Source organism: Homo sapiens, chromosome 17 (assembly GCF_000001405.40).
Source record: "Homo sapiens chromosome 17, GRCh38.p14 Primary Assembly".
NCBI classification, from domain to species: domain Eukaryota; kingdom Metazoa; phylum Chordata; class Mammalia; order Primates; family Hominidae; genus Homo; species Homo sapiens.
This window is the reverse complement of record NC_000017.11, coordinates 78187347-78207747: the sequence shown is the minus strand read 5'-3', so window position 1 is coordinate 78207747 and position 20401 is coordinate 78187347. Positions and strand designations below refer to the sequence as shown.

Here is a 20401-nt window from a genome sequence, read left to right as displayed (position 1 = left end):
CAGCTTGAAAGCTGCCCTAGACAATACGTAAATGAACGAGCAGGGCCGTGTTCCAATACAACTTTATTTATCAACATGGAAATTTACGTTTTATATAATTTTTACATGTTATGAAATAATATTCTTTTGTGCTTCTTTATGAACTATTTAAATATAATGCCATTCTGGCCGGGCGCAGTGGCTCACGCCTGGAATCCCAGCACTTTGGGAGGCCAAGGCGGGCGAATCACAAGGTTAGGAGTTTGAGACCAGCCTGGCCAATATGTTGAAACCCCGTCTCTACTAAAAATACAAAAATTAGCCAGGCATGATGGCAGGCGCCTGTAGTCCCAGCTGCTCAGGAGGCTGAGGCAGGAGAATTGCTTGAACCCGGGAGGTGGAGGTTGCAGTGAGCCAAGATCACGCCACTGCACTCCAGCCTGGGTGACAGAGTAAGACTCCATCTCAAAAAAAAAAAAAAAAAAAAAAAAAAAAGAAGTAATGGCATTACTTTTGAGCGTCATCTTTGTCATGCTCTGTCAGCAGGTAGATGGGCCAGACGAGTCTAAGAGGCAGCTCCGGGCATCTCTGAGCATTGACTTGCGGACGTTCCCCAGCCCTGGAGCTCCATCCAGGCTGGGAAGAGGGAGGACGTGGAGATTTTCATGAGTGTCCCAGCAGTGAGAATGGACTCTTGCCGGGCAGACAGACACAGCAAGGCTCTCCTGGGTGCTGGGGGAAACTGAAGCTGTCAGTGTCAGCTCCGAAAGCTCTTTGGAGAGGCTTCCCAAGGTGGGATGCACGTGGACCAGGCTCCAAGTATCGTCAGAACTACTGGAAGATTGTTTTCAAGATAATCTGGAACAGGAAGAGAAGACACAAAAGCCCCAGAATCAGAGCAGCTCTTTGCAGGAATTTGATTAAGGAAATGAGACAGGGCTGGATGCAGTGGCTCACGTCTGCAACCCCAACCCTTCGGGAGGCTGAGGTGGGAAGATCACTTGAACTCAGGAGTTGAAGACAGTCTGGTTAGAGGTATAATATGCTGAGATGAAGGAAGAAGAAGAAGAAGGGGGGGTAGGGGGAGGAGGAGAAGAAAGAAGATGAAGGAGGAAGGAGGAAGAAGAAGAAGGAAGACGACGACGACCAGCCTGGGGAACATAGAGAGACCCCATCTCTACAAAACATTGAATAATTAGCAGGGCACAGTGGCACGCCTTTGTAGTCCCAGCTACTCGAGAGGCTGGGGCAGGATAACCACTTGAGCCCAGGAGGCAGCAGAGAGCTAAGATTTTGCCACTATACTCCAGCCTGGGTGCAAGAGAGGAGACCCTGTCTCTAAAGAAAAAAAAAAAGAAAGAAACAAGATGGTCTTTCTTAGGTTCTTTCTTTCCTAGGTTCTCAGGTCTTTTTTTTTTTTTTTTTTTTTTGAGACAGAGTCTTACTCTGTCGCTCAGGCCGGAGTGCAGTGGTGCAATCTTGGCTCACTGCAATCTCTGCCTCCTGGGTTAAAGCAATTCTCATGCCTCAGCCTCCTGAGTAGCTGGGATTACAGGCACGTACCATCACATCTGGCTAATTTGTTTTGTATTTTTAGTAGACACGGAGTTTCTCCATGTTGGCCAGGCTGGTCTTGAACTCCTGGTTTGCACATCTAAGGGGCTGCGACAGGACCTGTGCTGTCTACCATGAAAGGGCTGCCAGGGATGAGGCCCCACCTGGGTGAGCACGTTGTCCTTCTGGGTCAGATTCTCAACAATTTCAAAGTGGTCCACATCGTGGAGCTCTTCAAATGAGGCTTTCCACTCTCCTTGACACAGGGTCTGGGCAGGGGAGACATGGGAAGAGGGGCCTGAGCAGTGGGAGGGGAGGTGGGGCAGGACATGGGGCCATGCCTGGCACAGGTCAGGGTTCACTCAGTACGTGTTAAATAAATGATGGAGGGTCTTGTCCACTTGGGTAAAAGAAAGAGGAAAATAATGAGCCCACATGACCCTCGACCTCTGGCCACAAACCTGCACTGGGAGTACCTGGTAAAACTCCCAGGACTGTCGGTGGAATTCGGGGGAGTCGAACTGGCCCACGACCACCAGCACACGGCAGGTGGGGTCCACCGGCTGTGCCTGGGCCACCTTCAGCTGGGGGCTATTCCTCTGAGCGTCCTCCCTGGGGTGGGGAGTGGACAGGGGTCAGGACAGAGAGGAGCCAGGCTCCTGGTGAGCCAGGGGAGGTGGTGGCCAAGTAACTCACAGGGTCAGCTGGAGAGCAACGTTCTGTGAAGTATACACGATGGGCTCCAGGTCAAAGACCCCACTCACCAGGAAAAAGCCTGTGAAGGTACAGAATTGTCACAGGGCCAGGCTCCAGGCGGAGCAAGGCAGGGCCAGCCCACCCCCACCGCCAGAGGGGCAGGACCAGGGGAAGGGGCACAGAGGAGGCAGAGAAGGCCTTGCTCAGAGGGCTCGAAGCCCTGCGGTCAAGCCACTCATGGCCGGGAGGATTTCAAGCAGTTGGCCCAAACCCCAAGGCTCATGGGGAGATGAAGGTTGCCCAGCCAGGCTGTAGCTCCCATGGAAACCTCTGAGGTTGGGCGTGACCCCATGCTTGGTCCAGTCGGCCAGGAGCATCATGGCAGCCAGGTGGGCCCCGGCTGAGTGTCCACACAGGTAAATTCCCCTGGGAGGGGTCAGAGCAGAGAGCTGGATTTGCACGCAGTTTCCCCACAACATCAGGCCCCCTTCGAAGAGTCCCAATTTGCTTTCTGCTCCACAGGCCAGAGGGGCAGCTTGGCTGTATCCTAGGTACTGATTGCACTGTCCTCCCACCCACTGAGGTCCAACAGGAAGAAAATCTACTGGCAACACCCACTTGTTGCTTGGATACCGCTTCTGGACAAACGCAACGCTGCGGGTCACCTGGTCTACCATGTGGTCCAGGGTGCCTGCACAGAGAGCATGAGCTGGGTCAGGGATGCACTTCCTCCTAAAGCCCACCGGCCCTCGGACCTGCAGCAACCACTCCTATTACCTTTGGGGGCGATGCCGTAAGCCACTATTACCACGGCCACTCCCTGTGCCGTCAGCGGGTGGACCATGAAGGCAGACTCATCCTTACTGCAGAGACACACAGATGTGACAGCTGGAGGCAGCTTGGCCACTACGCTGCTTCCTGTGTCCTGGACACACCACTTGCCAGATGTCCTGTCCACGCACAGCATCACCCCTTTCTGGTCCCATGTGAGAGAGTGAAGCGGACAGGCTCTCTCCCTGCCACATCACATGCTAGCTACGGGACCTTGGGGGAACTTCATGTAACTTTTTGTTTTCTAAGCGATAGGGCCTCGCTCTGTCGCCCAGGCTGGAGTGCAATGGTGCGATCATGGATCACTGTAGCCTCGACCTCCTGGGCTCAAGCGATCCTCCTGCCTCAGCCTCCCAAGCAGGAGTATAGGTGTGCACCACTATGCCCAGCAAATTTATCTTTTCTTTTGTAGAGATGGGGGTCTTGCTATGTTGACCAGGCTGGTTTCTAACTCAATCCTCCTGCCTCAGCCTCCCAATGTGTGGGATTATAGGTGTGAGCCACTGTGCAAGGCAATTTGTGTAACTTCTAAGCCTGGTTTTGTCATCTGTAAAATAGAGGCAATTATGTTCCCTCTCTCAGGGAACTGTTTTTGAGAATTAAAGACTAGCAGTGTAGAGAGTTTTGTGTGCAATAAATGTAAGCTTTTTTTTTTTTTTTTTTTGAGACAGAGTCTCGCTCTGTCACCCTGGGTGGAGTGCAGTGGCATGATCTTAGCTCACTGCAACCTCCGCCTCCTGGGTTCAAGTGATTCTCCTGCATTAGCCTCCCGAGTAGCTGGGATTACAGGCACACACCACCACGTCCAGCTAATTTTTGTATTTTTAGTAGAGACAGGGTTTCACCACGTTGGCCAGGCTGGTCTCGAACTCCTGACCTCAAGTGATCCGTCCGCCTTGCCCTTCCAAAGTGTTGGGATTACAGGCGTGAGCCACCGTACCTGGCCATTAAATGTAAGCTATTAACATGAACATGCTTGAAGGCAACTCTGTAGGAAGACCCTAGGGAACAGCAGTGTCTGCCAAGATCCCAAATTCCCAAATACCCACTGCTTAGCTTACAGTGACCAACTGTCCCATTTTACCTGGGACTCTCATTTTTTTTTCCTAAAGTACTGAAAACCCCATGTCCTGGGAAACCCCTCCTCAGTCCCAAGCAAACTGGGACAGTGGTTGGTCACTCTGGCTTTTCCCTTGATTCAAGAGGAGGCTGAACATGCTTCTCACTGGGTGTAGTGGGTTGAACTGTGTCCCCCCAAAAGATATGTCCAAATCCTAACCCCAGAACCTGTGACTATGACCTTATAAAAAAAAAAAAAAAAAAAAGGAGGCTGGTGTGGTGGCTCACGCCTGTAATCCCAGAACTTTGAGAGGTCAAGGCAGGAGGATCACTTGAGCTCAGGAGTTCAAGACCAGCCTGGCCAACATGGTAAAACCCTGTCTCTACTAAAAATACAAAAATTAGCTGGGTGTGGTGGCGTGCACCTGTAATCCCAGCTACTTGGGAGGCTGAGGCAGAAGAATTGCTTGAGCCCGGGAGGCAGAAGTTGCAGTGAGCTGAGGTCGCACCACTGCGTTCCAGTCTGGGTTAGAGTGAGACTCTGTCTCAAAAAAAAAAAAAAAAAAAAAAAAAGAGAGAGGAAGATTTGAGACCCAGGAACACCAGGATCACATGTGAATGGAGGCAGAGGCTGGAGCTATGCAGACACAAGCTAAGGGCTGTCTAAGGCCACCAGAAGCTGGAGAAGGCAGGAAGGACCCTCCCTAGGAACCCTGCCCACATTTGACTTGAGACTTCCGTTCTCCAGCGCTGTGAGACACAGCCCTGCAAGGAGTGCCCAGCTTGTGGCAGTTTGGTTGCGGCAGCCCTGGAGGAGGAGTCCCCCAGGGAAAGTGGAATCTCTCTTGCAGTCCACCATCCACATCCCCCGACTCACCTTCCGCTCTGCCAGTATCCTCCGTGAAAGAACAGGAAGAAAGGCAAGGCTGCAAAACCAAGCACAGGGCGTGTGAGCAAGGCCCGCCCTGCTGAGCTCTGCCACTGGACCCCCAAGCCCCGGGACCCCCAGCCCCTTCACCGACAACCTTCAGACGACTCGTCGGGGAAGTAAATGTCCACTTTCTCCCCTTCGCCGTCTCCATAGGGGACATGCAGCAGGCTCTTCCTGGTGGCCCGGGCCCTTGTGGTGGCTGTCTCAGAAATGGACAAGTCGCTGTCAGCACAAGCTCAGGTGGTAGAAATTTTTCTTTTCTTTTTTTTGAGACGAAGTCTCACTCTGTTGCCCAAGCTGGAGTGCAGTGGCGCGATCTCGGCTCACTGCAATCTCCACCTCCCCGGTTCAAGCGATTCTCCTGCCTCAGCCTCCCAAGTAGCTGGGACTACAGGTGCACGCCACTATGCCCAGCTAATTTTTATATATATATATATATTTTTTAGTAGAGACAGGGTTGTTGGCCAGGCTGGTCTTGAACTCCTGACCTCGTGATCCACCCACCTTGGCCTCCCAAAGTGCTGGGATTACAGGCATGAGCCACTGTGCCCAGCCAGGTGGCGGCAATTTCTATTTCAGCTCAGGTAGAAACATTCCAGCTGAAAGCTCCCTTAAGTTGGCGTGTTGAGCTTCAGCTCTGAGCACCTCCCATCGAAAGAGGACTGCCAGGCTGGGTGCAGTGGCTCACGCCTATAATCCCAGCACTCTGGGAGGCCGAGGCGGGTGGATCACGAGGTCAGGAGATCGAGACCACCCTGGCTAACATGGTGAAACCCTGTCTCTACTAAAAATACAAAAAATTAGCCAGGCGTGGTGGCAGGTGCCTGTAGTCCCAGCTACTCAGGAGGCTGAGGCAGGAGAATGGCGTGAATCCGGGAGGTGGAGCTTGCAGTGAGCTGAGATCACGCCACTGCACTCTAGCCTGGGGGACAGAGCGAGACGCCAACTCAAAAAAAAAAGACTGCCAGTCCTGACGTCTGTCAACAAGTGAACTGTGGTTCTGCGAGGACCCTTTTCAGCACGACTTTACTACACACTTATTATGTGCGCTATACTTTTTTGTTTTAAAGGACAGGGTCTCACTATATTGCCCAGGCTGGAGTACAGTGGCTATTCACAGGTGCAATCAAAGCATACTACAGTCTCAAACTCCCGGCGCCAAGCAATCCTCCAGCCTCAGCCTCCTGAGTAGCTGGGATTATGGGCCCGTGCCACCACACCTGGCTAATTTTTGTATTTTTAGTAGAGACGGGGTTTCACTGTATTGGCGAGGCTGGTCTCGAGCTCAACCTCAGATGATCCATCCACCTCGGCCTCCCAAAGTGCTGGGATTACAGGCATGAGCCACTGTGCCTGGCCTCTTGCTTTATTTTTTATCCTAGCATTCATCGTTTTTTTTTTTTTGCGACGGAGTCTTGCTCTGTCACCCAGGCTGGAGTGCAGTGGTGCCATCTTGGCTCACTGCAACTTCTGCCTCCTGGGTTCCAGCAATTCTCGTGCCTTAGCCTATATTTTCTAAAAATTAAAAAAAAAGTTATCTGGACGTGGTGGTGGACACCTATAATTCCGGCTACTCGGGAGGCTGAAGTGGGAGGATTACTTGAACCTGGGAGGCAGAAGCTGCAGTGAGCTGAGATTGCACCACTGCACTCCAGCTTGGGTGACAGAGCGAGATTCTGTCTCGAAAGAAAGGAAAGAAAGAAAGAGAGCATCCAGACCACTGGGAATGATCAGTCAGTAAACCCTGCCTCCCCTCCCACCGCAGCAACGCACTCCTAGTATTCACAGCTAGGACACTGCGCTCTTGGGAGAAGGAACCTGGTCTAGTCATCTTTGCAGGAACTCCCTGCTTTGCTGAAAATAAATATTGCATTTGTTTACCAGGGCAGCTGTAACAAAGTACTGCAAATTGAGTGTCTCACAGCAGTAGAACGTGATTCTCTCACAGTTCTAAAGGCCAGAAGTCTGAAATTAAGGTGTGGACACTGCCACACTCTGCCAATGCCTCTTTTGCCTCCTGCAGCTCCTGGTGGCTCCAGGCGTTCCAAGGCCTGGGGCTACGTCACTCCAGTCACCTCTGCCTCTTCCCGTCTCTGCCTCCGTCTTCACGTGGTCCCCTCCCTGTGTGTCCCTCCCTCTTCTGTCTCTTAGCAGGATAGCAGTCAATGGCATTTAGGGCCCACCCTAACCCAGAATGACTTGACTTTAGCTAATAACACCTACAAAGATGGTCTTTCCAAATAAGGAAATACCAACCGGGAACCTGCAATCCCAGCTGGTTACAGGGAGGCTGAGGCGGGCAGATCACTTGAGGTCAGGAGTTGAGACCATCCCGGCCAACATGGTAAAACCCTGTCTCTACTAAAAATACAAAAATTATCTGGGCGTGGTGGCGCGTGCCTGTAATCCCAGCTACTTGGGAGGCTGAGGCAGGACAATCGCTTGAACCCGGAGGCAGAGGTTGCAGTGAGCTGAGATCACACCACTGCACTCCAGCCTGGGCGACAGAGCAAGACTCTGTATCAAACAAACCAAACCAAACCAAACCAAAACAAAACACACCAAATAAGGAAATACCTTCATAGGTTCCCAGGGTTAGGATTTTCATAGGTTCCCAGGGTTAGGATTTGGACATATCTTTTTTTTTTTTTATGTCGTTGTGGGGGTCACCTTTATTTGGCACTGCAGATGCTAAACGTCTTACATAACACAGTTTTCAGAATTCTAGCTAGTCAGCAGAGACCTAAGGCCTCTGGGGGCCAGCCTGCAGGCCCATGCTCCACCTCTCCCATCCTGTCACCCCAAGGATCCAGATACCCCCTTCTCACAGCTGTGCTCAGGCACCATCAGGGGATCCTTGGGCTGCTGGGTTGATCTCCCCAAAAGAGGTGGAATCCAGTTCCCTGTAGAACCTGCATCTCAGAAAGGGCTCCGTGTATTAACGTGCAACTTGGGATCCCTGTCCCTGGAGGCCCCCTGGTCCCCAGCCTTGGTGGCCACAGCAGGCCTAGAGAAAAAAAAGCCTGGCCGGGCGCGGCGGCGCACACCTGCAATCCCAGCACTTTGGGAGGCCGAGGCGGGTGGACCACAAGGTCAGGCATTCGAGACCACCCTGGCCAATATGGTGAAACCCCATCTCTACTAAAAATACAAAAATTAGCCAGGCGTGGTGGCGCACACCTGTACTCCCAGCTACTCAGGAGGCTGAGGAAGGAGAATTGCTTGAACCAGGAAGCAGAGGTTGCAGCGAGCCGAGATTGCACCACTGCACTCCAGCCTGGGCAATAGAGCAAGACTGTCTCAAAAAAAAAGAAAAGAAAAAAAAAAACAACCGTGCTTCCCTCGGGTGGGTGATTCATTCTGCAACTCCAGAAGGGTAAACACGGCAGAGGAAGAAAAAGCATGGGGCTGAGAGCTTGTACGAATTGCGTCTATGCCAGAATGCAGAACCATAAACCGGGCTGTCTCCACTTCAGCTGGATGGATTAAAGCTGAGGGAAATCAAAGGGAAGTTGCCCATGGGCCAATCCAGGCAGGAAGCTGCCTTTGCAGAACGCCAGTGAGGTTGCAAAACCTGTTTTGCCAGCACCCACGTTACCAACCACTTGCCCCTGCAGGGCTCCCTGCGTACTGACGTACTGACGAGAAGCTATCTACGTACAGATGAGGAAACATCTCCAAGAAATACTAAGTGAAACTGGCAGGGTGGAACTGTGTGTACTACGGGGCCATTTGGATGAAAGGGAGGGGGAGTCTATATCCATATGAAGAACAGTGGCCACCTTGACGGGGGCCAGGGGAACTGGGCACACGAAAGGGAAGAGGAGTGAGCATTTCACTGAAAAGCCTTGTGTGGTTTTGGTTTTGTTTTGTTTTGTTTTGTTTTTTTGAGACAGAGGCTCGCTCTGTCGCCCAAGCTGGAGCCCACTGGTGCAATCTTGGCTCACTGCAACCTCCGCCTCTGGGGTTCAAGTGATTCTCCTGTCTCCTCCTTCTGAGCAGCTGGGATTACAGGTGTGCGCCACCACACCTGTCTAATTTTTTTTTTTTTTTTTTTTGAGACAGAGCTTTGCTCTTGTCACCCAGGCTGGAGTGCAACGGCGCAATCTCCGCTCACTCCAACCTCTGTTTCCTGGGTTCAAGTGATCTGCAACCTCTGCTTCCTGGGTTCAAGCGATTCTCCTGCCGCAGCCTCCCAAGTAACTGGGATTACAGGCACGCACCACCATGCATGGCTAATTTTTTTTTTTTTTGTATTTGTAGTAGAGATGGGGTTTCACCATATTGGCCAGGTTGGTCTCGAACTCCTGACCTTGAGTGATATCCCCGCCTTGGCCTCCCAAAGTGCTGGGATTACAGGTGCGAGCCAGTGCATCTGGCCCAGGCGAATTTTTGTATTTTTAGTAAAGATGGGTTTTCACGGTGTTGGCCAGGCTGGTCTGGAACTCCTGAATTCACTTTTTATTTTTGAGACACGGTTTCACTCTGTCACACAGGCTGGAGTGTAGTGGTGCAATCTCGGCTTACTGCAGCCTTAACCTCCTAGGTTCAAACAAGCTTCCCACCTCTGCCACCAGAGTAGCTAAGACTATAGGCGTGTGCCACCACGCCTGGCTAACTTTTGTATTTTTTGTAGGGACAGGGTTTCGCCATGTTGCCCAGGCTGTTCTCGAACTCCAGGGCTCAAGTGATCCTCCCACCTTAGCCTCCCAAGCACCACCACACCCAGCTAATTTTTAATTTTTTTGTAGAGACCAGGTCTTGCATGTTGCCAGCTGGTTTCGAACTCCTGGGCTCAAGCGTCCTCCTGCTTTGGTTTCCCAAAGTCTGGGATTACAGGCATGCGCCACCGGCCCCCTCTCTTTCTCAAACCACATCTGATCATCAGGAAATCCTTGGATGCCCCCTCCACTGCTTGTCCTGGGTCTAGAGTCTCCTCCCCATCTGCACTGAGACCACTCTGGTTGGATACCCTTTGACCTGTTCCCTGGAAGGCAGCAGCCACCCCTCTAGGCTCTTCCAGCTTCTACCCGGACTCCCTACAGCCACAAGCGTGAGCTGGTTATAACACGCTCACATCCATCCTGGGCTCCTGTCTGAGTCAGCCTGGGCGGCTATAACAAAATACCAGACTGGGGAAACTTAATGGAAATTTTATTTTCTCACAGTTCTGCAAACTGGAAGTCCAAGATCAAGGTGCCAGCAGGGTTGGTGTCTGATAAGCCCCAGGGCTGCAGACCTGCCACCAATCCTTTGCTGAAAGCCATCTGGGCTGTCTCCCAGGCCATGCTACCACAAACACCCCTGCTGTGAATAGCTTTGTACATCCATTACCATACCACTTGCAAGCATCTGTAGGACGCACTCTCAGGGGTAGAATTCTGGGTCAAAAGGCAGACGCATTTGTCACTGTGAGGCCATTGCCGGCTGCCATCCATGGGGGTTTGCCAACAACCCTGCCCCAGCACAGTGTGAAGACAATGTGCCTCACAGGCTCATCGGAGTGGCTTCATCAGAAGGTCGTGATTTAATTCACACAGGAGTTCTCAAGCCTATAAATGGACTAGATTAAAGTTGTGCTACGATTAAGAAAAACATCATGGAATTTATGTTCTAAGTGGAATGGCCATTAAAACCAAGCAGCTATAGGTGTTCATTATCATGCATAAGCCTCTCTCAGATATTAAAAAACTCTACTAACCTCGGGAAAGAGAAATTGCCTCTCTCTAGGAGAGGACAGCTGGGGTGCAGAGACAGAGAATGAAGTGACTCATGCCCCCCACAGAGGGCCCTCCAGTCCCTGAACCCCAGGGCAAGAACACAGGAGGGCTTCAGCAAGACACCCCAGAACAAACCTTATGGCAAACTTCCTTTCTCATTAAAGCAAAAGCTTCATTGCTATTATTTACAACTCAGGCTATGTGGAAATGGTGCTACGAACACGCGTGTAAAAATGCTTGTTTGAGTACCTGTTTTCAATTGTTTTGGGTTAGAAATAATTTCTGGGTTTTTTTTTTCAGATGGAGTTTCATTCTTTGTTGCCCAGGCTGGAGTGCAATGGCGTGGTCTCGACTCACTGCAACCTCCCCAACCTGGGTTCAAGCTATTCTCCCACTTCAGCCTCCCCGGTGGCTGGGATTACAGGCATGTGCCACTATGCCTGGCTCATTTTTGTATTTTCAGTAGAGAAGGTGTTTTGTCGTGTTGGCCAGGCTGGTCTCCAACTCCTGACCTCAAGTGATCTGCCCCCCTCTGGCCTCCCAAAGTGCTGGGATTACAGGCGTGAGCCTCTGTGCCTGGCTGGGTAGAAATAATTTCTTTTCTTTTTTTTCTGAGACAAGGTCTCGCTTTGTCACCCAGGCTAGAGTGCAGTGGTGCAATCTTTGCTCATTGCAACCTCTGCCTCCTGAGTTCAAGCAATTCTCTTGCCTTGGCCTCTCAAGTAGCTGAGATTATAGGCGCACGCCACCATGCCTGGCTACTTTTTGTGTTTTTAGTAGAGATGGGGTTTCACTATGTTGGCCAGGCTGGCCGTGAACTCTTGACCTCAAGTGATTCCCACCGCCTTGGCCTCCCAAAGTGCTGGGATTACAGGGATGAGCCATGGAGCCCAGCCTGGGTTAGAAATAATTTCTAATGCTACCATCCTGGCTAACACGGTGAAACCCCGTCTCTATTCAAAAAATTAGCTGGGCATGGTGGTGGGCGCCTGTAGTACCAGCTACTTGGGTGGCTGAGGCAGGAGAATGGCGTGAACCTGGGAGGCGGAGCTTGCAGTGAGCCAAGATCTTGCCACTGCACTCCAGCCTGGGTGACAGAGCAAGACTCCGTCTCAAAAACAAAAATAATAATAATAATAATAATTTATAATGCTGTGCATGGTATTAAAAACAGGACTGCAAGGCCGGGCGTGGTGGCTCTTGCCTGTAATCCCAGCACTTTGGGAGGCGGGCAGATGACCTGAGGTCGGGAGTTCCAGACCAGCCTGACCAACATGGAGAAACCCCATCTCTACTAAAAATACAAAATTAGCTGGACGTGGTGGCGCACGCCTGTAATCCCAGCTACTTGGGAGGCCAAGGCAGGAGAACTGCTTGAACCCAGGAGGCAGAGGTTGCGGTGAGCTGAGATCGCGCCATTGCACTCCAGCCTGGGTAACAAGAGTGAAACTCCGCCCCAAAAAAAAAAAAAACAGGACTGCAGGGCTGCACGCGGCAACTCATGCCTGTAGTCCCAGCACTTTGGGAGGTCGAGGCAGGCGGATCACCTGAGGCCAGGAGTTTGAGACCAGCCTGGCCAACATGGCGAAACCCTGTCTCTACTAAAAACACAAAAATTAGCCGGGCGTGGTGGTGCACATCTGCAATCCCAGCTATTCGGGCAGCTGAGGCACAAGAACTGCTTGAACCCAGGAGGTGGAGGTTGCAGTGAGATGACATAGCACCACTGCCCTCCAGCCTGGGCAACAGAGTGAGACTCTCCCTGTCTCAAAAGAAAAAAAAAAAGAAAGAAACTGTCCCCTTTAAACACTCACTCCCCATTCCTCCCTCCCCTTGCCCCTACCAACCACCATTCCATTTCTTGTCTTTATTAATTTGACTTCTCTAGGGACCTCATTTAAATGAAATCATACAGAATTTGAACTTTTGTATCTGGATAAAAAATATATACAGCATTTTGCTGACTGTAAAATGTATTTTTTTGGGCCGGGTACGGTGGCTCACGCCTGTAATCCCAGCACTTTGGTAGGCTGAGGCAGGTGGATCACCTGAGGTCGGGAGTTTGAGACCAGCCTGACCAACATGGAGAAACCCCGTCTCTACTAAAAATAAAAAATCAGCCAGGCGTGGTGGCACATGCCTGTAATCCCAGATACTCAGGAGGCTGAGGCAGGAGAATCGCTTGAACCTGGGAGGCGGAGGTTGCGGTGAGCCGAGATTGCGCCATTGCACTCCAAGCCTGGACAACAAGAGCAAAACTCCGTCTTAAAAAAAAAAAAGTATTTTTACTGAAGGTCACAGTAAAACTAATTTAAAAGCTAGTGGTAAAGGAAATGGTTCTTAAACCCCCTCTCTGCCAGCCTCCTGCGCCCTGACCATACTCACACAGCAGTTAGACTTTGTTCTCCCTGAGCCCAGATGAGGGCGGCCAGGCCTTGATGGGGATGAGGCTGTCTACTCATTAAAAGCGAACATCCCTCATTGCAAGTTAACAGGCTGGCATTGTAAGGACGAATACAAATAAAAAATGAGAAAAAATATAATTCTCCCTGGTGCAAAGAAGGCAAAGTGTGGCTCACGCCTATAATCCCAGCACTTTGGGAGGCGAGCAGATCACTCGAGGCCAGGAGTCCCAGACCAACCTGGCGAACATGGTGAAACCCCGCCTCTACTAAAAATACAAAATTAGCTGGCGTGGTGGCACGCGCCTGTAAATTCCAGCTACTCGGGAGGCTGAAACACAAGAATGTGAGACACAAGAATGGCTTGAACCCAGGAGGCAGAGGTTGCAATGAGCCAAAATCACGCCACTGCACTCCAGCCTGGGTGACAAAGCGAGGCCTTGTCTCAAAGAAAAAAAAAAAAAACCCAATACATAAAGAAATATGCAGCCTTGAACTCCAAGGCAGCAGTAATCCTCCCACTTCAGCCTCTCAAGTAGGTGGAACTGCAGGTGCACACTACGGCACCCTGCTAATTTTTAAATTTTTTTTTTTTTTTTTGAGATGGAGTCTCGCTCTGTCGCCCAGGCTGGAGTGCAGTGGCATGATCTCAGCTCACTGCAAGCTCCACCTTCTGGGTTCAAGCCATTCTCCTGCCTCAGTCTCCAGAGTAGATGGGACTACAGGTGCCCGCACCACGCCCAGCTAATTTTTTGTATTTTTAGTAGAGACAGGGTTTCACCGTGTTAGCCAGGATGGTCTCAATCTCCTGACCTTGTGATCTGCCCACCTCAGCCCCGCAAAGTGCTGGGATTACATGCGTGAGCTGCCACGCCTGGCCTTTAAATTTTTTGTAGAGGCAGGTTATTGCTATGTTGCCCAGGCTGGTCTCAAACTCCTGGCCTCAAAGGATCCTCGTGCTTTGACCTCCCACAGTACTGGGATTACAGGCGTGTGTGACAGTTCCTGGCCTCTTTTTTTTTTTTCCTTTTTAATCCTTTCCTTTTAATTTTCTTTCATTCATATGACTTGAAGTTTCAATAGTGCGTGCTTTTTACATCTGACATTCTTTCTCAATAGGGTCAGCTCTTTTTATCACTCAAGACAATTAAGACAGGCAAATAGGTTTGCTTACAGCTTTTTTTTTTTTTTTTTTTTTTTTTTTTGAGACAGAGTCTCGCTCTGTCGCCCAGGCTGGAGTGCAGTGGCGCGATCCCGGCTCACTGCAAGCTCCACCTCCCAGGTTCACACCATTCTCCTGCCTCAGCCTCCTGAGTAGCTGGGACTAGAGGCGCCCGCCACCATGCCTGGCTAATTTTTTATATTTTTAGTAGAGATGGGGTTTCACCGTGTTAGCCAGGATGGTCTCGATCTCCTGACCTCATGATCCGCCCGCCTCGGCCTCCCAAAGTGCTGGGATTACAGGCATGAGCCACCACGCCTGGCTGCTTACAGCTCTTGTATGTTTCACCACACTCATGTATTTATCGAGCAAATAGAGATGAATTTGGATCAGAGCTGAGCACAGCAAGGAACATGAAGAGCCCAGGAAACAGCTCCCCCCCAATCTATTGAGACAGGAGGATGGTGGAATTGCTGGAATACACTTCTAACAAGTCTGTTCCTCCTCCTGGGTTCTCTCCGCTTAGAAAACCACCAAGCCCAGGAGCCCAGGCATCTGCCTCTGAAAGGCTGTGTTGAGCCTGCTGCAACAGAGCTAATTTGCCAAGCATGGTTGGCTGCGTCCTCACCTACACTTCCTCCTCGGGGCCTGCTCCCCATCCCAGCACGGATGCATTACCAGGTGTTCAGATCGTGGTACAGCACTTTGCAGATACAGGGTAGAGATGGAAATGGACCTTAAGACTTCACTAGTTTACAGGTTCCCAAGTCCAGATTTCTTTAAAGAAAGAAAAGGTGAAAGTCCAGGCACGGTGGCTCATACCTGTAATCCCAGCACTTTGGGAGGCCGAGGCAGGTGGATGACCTGAGGTCGGGAGTTTGAGACCAGCCTAACCAACATGGAGAAACCCCATCTCTACTAAAAATACAAAATTAGCTGGGCTTGGTGGCACAGGCCTGTAATCCCAGCTACTCAGGAGGCTGAGGCAGAAGAATCGCTTGAACCTGGGAGGTGGAGGTTGCAGTGAGCCGAGATTGCACCTTTGCACTCCAGCCTGGGCAGCAAGAGCAAAACTCCGTCTCAAAAAAAAAAAAAAAAAAAAAGTCCAGCCATGGTGGCTCACACCTGTAATCCTAGCACTTTGGGAGGCCGAGGAGGGCGAATCACCTGAGGTCAGGAGTTCAAGACCAGCCTGACCAACATGGAGAAACCATATCTCTACTAAAAAAAAAAAAAAATACAAAACACTTAGCAGGGCGTGGTGGCGCATGCCTGTAATCCCAGCTACTCAGGAAGCTGAGGCAGGAGAAGCACTTGAACTCAGGAGGCGAAGTTAGCGGTGAGTCGAGATCATGCCATTGCACTCCAGCCTGGGCAACAAGAGCGAAACTCTGTCTCAAAAACAAAAAAAAGAAAGAAAGAAAAGGCGGCCAGGCACGATGGCTCATGCCTGTAATCCCAGCACTTTGGGAGGCCGAGGCAGCCAGATCACGAGGTCAAGAGATGGAGACCATCCTGGCCAACATGGTGGCCCCATCTCTACTAAAAATACAAAAATCAGCTGGGTGTGGAGAGGTGCGCCTATAGTCCCAGCTACTCAGGAAGCTGAGTCAGGAGAATCGCTTGAACCCGGGAAGCAGAGGTTGCAGTGAGCTGAGATCGCGCCACTGCACTCCAGCCTGGGCAACAGAGCAAGACTCAGTCTCAAAAAAAAAAGAGGCTTCATTGCTTTTTTTTTTTTTTGAGACAGGGTCTCACTGTTACCCAGGCTGGCATGCAATGATGTAATCTCAGCTCACTGCAACCTCTGCCTCCCAGGTTGAAGCAATTCTCATGCCTCAGGTTCCCGAGTAGCTGGAATTACAGGTGTCCAGCTAATTTTTGTATTTTTTTGTAGAGATAGGGTTTTGCCATGTTGGCCAGGCTGGTCTTGAACTCCTGGCCTCAAGTGATATACCTGCCTCGGCCTCCCAAAGTATTGCTTTTTAGGAATAGTGACCGCATTCCACATTCAGCAGCGGATGGGGAACGTTCCTCTGTTCACTTCACCTCCCTATGCCAACCACAGCCCGCAGCCTTACGGGCCTGGGTATGGATGGCTGAGCAAGAAAGGCCAGGCATGGTCGACTGAGCCGTGGACCTCCCCCGGACCTCTCCTGCCTCCAGTAGTCCCTGCAGCAAGGGGTCCTGGGCACCTGCCCCTGAGCAGGGAGGTTTATAAAGTGCCTGGTGTTTGGGAAATGCCCCTCGAGGCCCAGGTGGTGCAGCACAGCCCCCCCAACCCCCAGCATTCTGAATCACTGCCACATGCTTAAGGACACCCAATGCGGCCACGGAGAGGTCACACTAGTACCTTCAATTCCTATCTGTGAGTAGGTCCTCAAGGCTTCCTCTGCTCCCAGTCGGACAACCCATCGGCTGGGACAGTACTGATTCTCCAGCTCCTGCAGGGCACAAACATGAGGCTCCGTAAGACTTTCCTTCTCAACAGAGTGTGCCCCTCCCCCTCGCCCATGCCCGGCTGCTCCTCTCTGCCTTAGAAGCCCTCGCCCCAGTATCCCAGGGTCTCCAAGATGCCCTCAGATCCATGGTCTAGAGGTATACCAGCGACCGCTGTGCCTTTAGCCAGCTGGCAGCCTTAAGGGGAGATGAGGTCCCCCAAACGAATTCAGTTAATGCCATCATGGGCACCACTCCCACAGCAGTTACGACCAGGGGAGGCCAGGTGGCCCGGTGGCTCACGCCTGTAATCCTAGCACTTTGGGAGCCTGAGGCAGGTGGATCACTTGAAGTCAGAAGTTTGAGACCAGCCTGGCCAACATGGCAAAACCCCATCTCTACTGAAAACAAAAACTAGCCGAGCGTGGTGGTGTGCACCTGTAATCCCAGCTACTTGGGAGGCTGAGGCAGGAGAATTGCTTAAGCCTGGGAGGTGGAGGTTGCAGTGAGCCGAGATCGCACCACTGCACTCCAGCCTAGCGACAGAGCAAGACTCTACCTCAAAAAAATTAAAAAAGGAGGAGCTGATCTGCGCTGAGAGGGTGCGATTCTGACCACAGGAGGTCACTGCACAGTCAAAGGCACAGAGGTGAGGAGGAAGGAATGAAAGGTCAGTTTGCAAATGCTGGCAGGCCCTATGGCTGACACACAGAGGTGAGGCTGGGAGGCTGGGCTGGAGGAGGAGGGGCGGTGAATGTCGGGCTAACACCTTCACACTTTATGCAGAAAGTAACAAGGAACCATTCTGAGGCAGTTTGGAGAATTAAAAAAAGAAAAAAAAAAACAGAGGCTGGGCGCGGTGGCTCACGCCTGTAATCCCAGCACTTTGGGAGGCGGAGGCGGGATCACGAGGTCAGGAGTTCAAGATCAGCCTGACCAACATGATGAAACCCCATTTCTACTAAAAATACAAAAATTAACCAGGCATGGTGACGCGCGCCTGTAATCCCAGCTACTCAGGAGGCTGAAGCAGGAGAATAGCTTGAACCAGGGAGGCAGAGGTTGCAGTGAGCCGGGATCATGCTACTGCACTCCAGCCTGGGCGACAGAGTGAGACCCCATCTCAAAAAAAAAAAAAAAAAAACCAACAGAAAATGCTGGACACGGTGGCTCTCGCCTGTAATCCCAGCACTTTGGGAGGCCAAGATAGGCAGATCACTTGAGTCCAGGAGTTCCAGACCAGTCTGGGCAATATGGCGAAACACTATCTCTACGAAAAATATGAAAAATCAACCGGGCATGGTGGTGGACACCTGTAGTCCTAGCTATTCGGGAGGCTAAGGCAGGAGAATCGCTTGAGCCCAGGAAGCAGAGATTGTAGTGAGCCAAGATTGCGCCATTGCACTCCAGCCTGAGAGAGCAAAACCCTGTTTCAAAAAAAAAAAAACAAAACACTGGGCGTGGTGGCTCACACCTGTAATCCCAGCACTTTGGGAGGCTGAGGCGGGTGAATCACCTGAGGTCAGGAGTTCGAGACCATCCTGGCCAACATGGTGAAACTCCGTCTCTACTAAAAATACAAAAATTAGCTGGGCATGGTGGCGGGCGCCCGTAATCTCAGCTACTCGGGAGGCTGAGGCAGGAGAATCGCTGGAACTCGGGAGGTGGAGGTTGCAGCGAGCTGAGATCCCACCATTGCACTCTAGCCTGGGTGACAACAGCGAGACTCCATCTCAAAAAAAAAAAAAAAAAAAAGTAACAAGGAACCAGATTTTGAAGAAAGGGCTCAAAACCATCATGAGAAATGGGAAGTCAGGGCAGCCTCATGGCAAGGCCTGAGGTCAAATGCCATCTGACCTCCCTCACTTACTTACTGTTTTATCCTCAACAAGTTACTTAGTCTCTGAGATTCAGTTTCCTGACTGGTAGAAGGTATCTATCCAGGCCCGGCACAGTGGCTCACACCTGTAATCTCAGCACTTTGGGAGGCCGAGGCGGGTGGATCACTTGAGGCCAGGAGTTCAAGACCAGTCTGTCCAACATGGCGAAACCCCATCTCTATTAAAAATACAAAAATTGGCCAGGCGCAGTGGCTCATGCCTGTAAACCCAGCACTTTGGGAGGCCAAGGGGGGCGGATCATGAGGTCAGGAGTTGGAGACCATCCTGGCTAACACAGTGAAACCCCATCTCTACTAAAAATACAAAAAAATTAGCCGGGCATGGTTGCGGGCGCATGTAGTCCCAGCTACTCAGGAGGCTGAGGCCGGAGAATGGCGTGAACCCTGGAAGAAGAGGTTGCAGTGAGCCCAGATCGCGCCACTGCACTCCAGCCTGGGCGATAGAGCGAGACTCTGTCTCAAAAGAAAAAAAAAAAAAATTAGCCAGGCATGTAGTACCAGCTACAGTGTGCCTGTAATCCCAGCCACTCGGGAGGCTGAGGCAGGAGAATCACTTGAACCCGGGAGGTAGAGGTTGCAGTGAGCCGAGATCATGCCACTGCACTCCAGCCTGGGTGACTGAGCGAGACTGTGTCTCAAAAAAAGAAGGCATGTATCCAAATCACAAGGTTAAAAGAGATAAAGCATGCGAGTAAAATAAAGCAAGCCAGTCAGTGTGGGTTGCTTCTTCCTCCCAGTGAAGGAGCTCTTTGTCAGAGGTCCTTGGATCTGTCCAATCTGTACCTGGAAAGGTTATTACCTGTAGGATCCTTACAGCCACACCTGGCACACTCTGTGATCACTACCACCATCTTTGTTGCTATTATTTATGATCATGATTATACAATGGGTTTCTTTTCTTTCTTTCTTTTTTTTTTTGAGCCACCGCACCCGGCCTGTATGTTTCTAACCTTCACAACCCCAATGTAAATACCAGCTGTTCTGAATCCTTCAGCCTGTGCCACATAAGCACAGACCCAAAAACATTGTGTAACCTCAGATCAAGGTCCAGAACTTTGTCCCCTAACCTCCTGCGGGTCTATGGATTTTTTTTTTTTTTTTTTTTTTTTTTTTTGAGACTAAGTCTTGGTCTATCGCCCAGCCTTCCAGGCTGGAGTACAAATGGCATGATCTCGGCTCACTGCAACCTCCACCTCCTGGGTTCAAGCGATTCTCCTGTCTCAGCCTCCCCAGTAGCTGGGATTACAGAGGTACATCACCACGCCCGGCTAATTTTTGTATTTTTAGTAGAAACGGGGTTTCACCATGTTGGCCAGGCTGGTCTCGAACTCCTGACCTCGTGATCCGCCAAAAGTGCTAGGATTACAGGTGTGAGCCGCCACGCCTGGCAGGGTCTACGGATATTATTAGCATAGTCAGGACTTCAATTTTCTTTATCCTGAAAACCAGGTTAACAAAAATCCTTAGGAGAAGGTAAAATACACCATGGTGCTCAAGCACTGGGGACCTGGCACGCACTAGGCGCTCTGCATGCCCACAGGAGTGCTCTAGACGGCTTCTAAGCTTCCTTCTTGGAATTCCAATCTAATAAATGAGCTAACTCCGCCCCAGCCCCTTAGTCCCTCCCTGCAATCCACCTACCTCTGCAGACATCTTCTTCCAAGGAACCTTGCTTGGGAAACCCACACCAGACACATCCATCATGGCGTCTACAGCCGCATGGGCGTG

General features: G+C 51.1%; 1 protein-coding gene across 14 annotated transcripts, besides 1 other annotated feature; it reads right to left on the bottom strand.

The window, feature by feature from the left end:
- Positions 1–45: 45 nt before the first annotated feature.
- On the bottom strand, positions 46–20386 carry AFMID (arylformamidase). 14 transcript variants are annotated; one of them, NM_001145526.3, is made up of 11 exons: positions 20315–20386; positions 16688–16778; positions 5145–5249; positions 4997–5045; positions 3007–3092; positions 2848–2920; positions 2558–2655; positions 2230–2308; positions 1995–2145; positions 1698–1802; positions 46–837 (listed from the first exon to the last, which is right to left on the bottom strand). In NM_001145526.3, the coding sequence occupies exons 1-11, from the start codon at positions 20375–20377 to the stop codon at positions 811–813; spliced, it is 927 nt and encodes a 308-aa protein (NP_001138998.1). In that variant the 5' UTR covers positions 20378–20386; the 3' UTR covers positions 46–810. The 14 variants fall into 14 exon arrangements, 11 of the variants coding, with proteins under 11 accessions (NP_001138998.1, NP_001010982.2, NP_001378928.1 ...); NM_001010982.5 differs by having other exon boundaries at positions 2010–2145; NM_001391999.1 differs by lacking the exon at positions 1995–2145.
- Positions 8501–8560: an enhancer, noted in NCBI's record as "active region_12879". NCBI's record gives its function as "activates an Ori minimal core promoter by ATAC-STARR-seq in GM12878 lymphoblastoid cells {active_cell/tissue: GM12878}" and the evidence as "EXISTENCE:reporter gene assay evidence [ECO:0000049][PMID:35858748]".

What these genes read in the sequence shown, in the direction of transcription:
- AFMID (NM_001145526.3), bottom strand. Translation starts at nt 20,377, where the DNA reads ATGATGGATGTGTCTGGTGTGGGTTTCCCAAGCAAGGTTCCTTGGAAG. An exon ending in TTACGGCATCGCCCCCAAAG is followed by an intron (nt 2,921 to 3,006) that starts GTAATAGGAGTG and finishes CTCTCTGTGCAG; the next exon opens with GCACCCTGGACCACATGGTA. An exon ending in AGGACAACGTGCTCACCCAG is followed by an intron (nt 838 to 1,697) that starts GTGGGGCCTCAT and finishes TTCCTGTTCCAG; the next exon opens with ATTATCTTGAAAACAATCTT.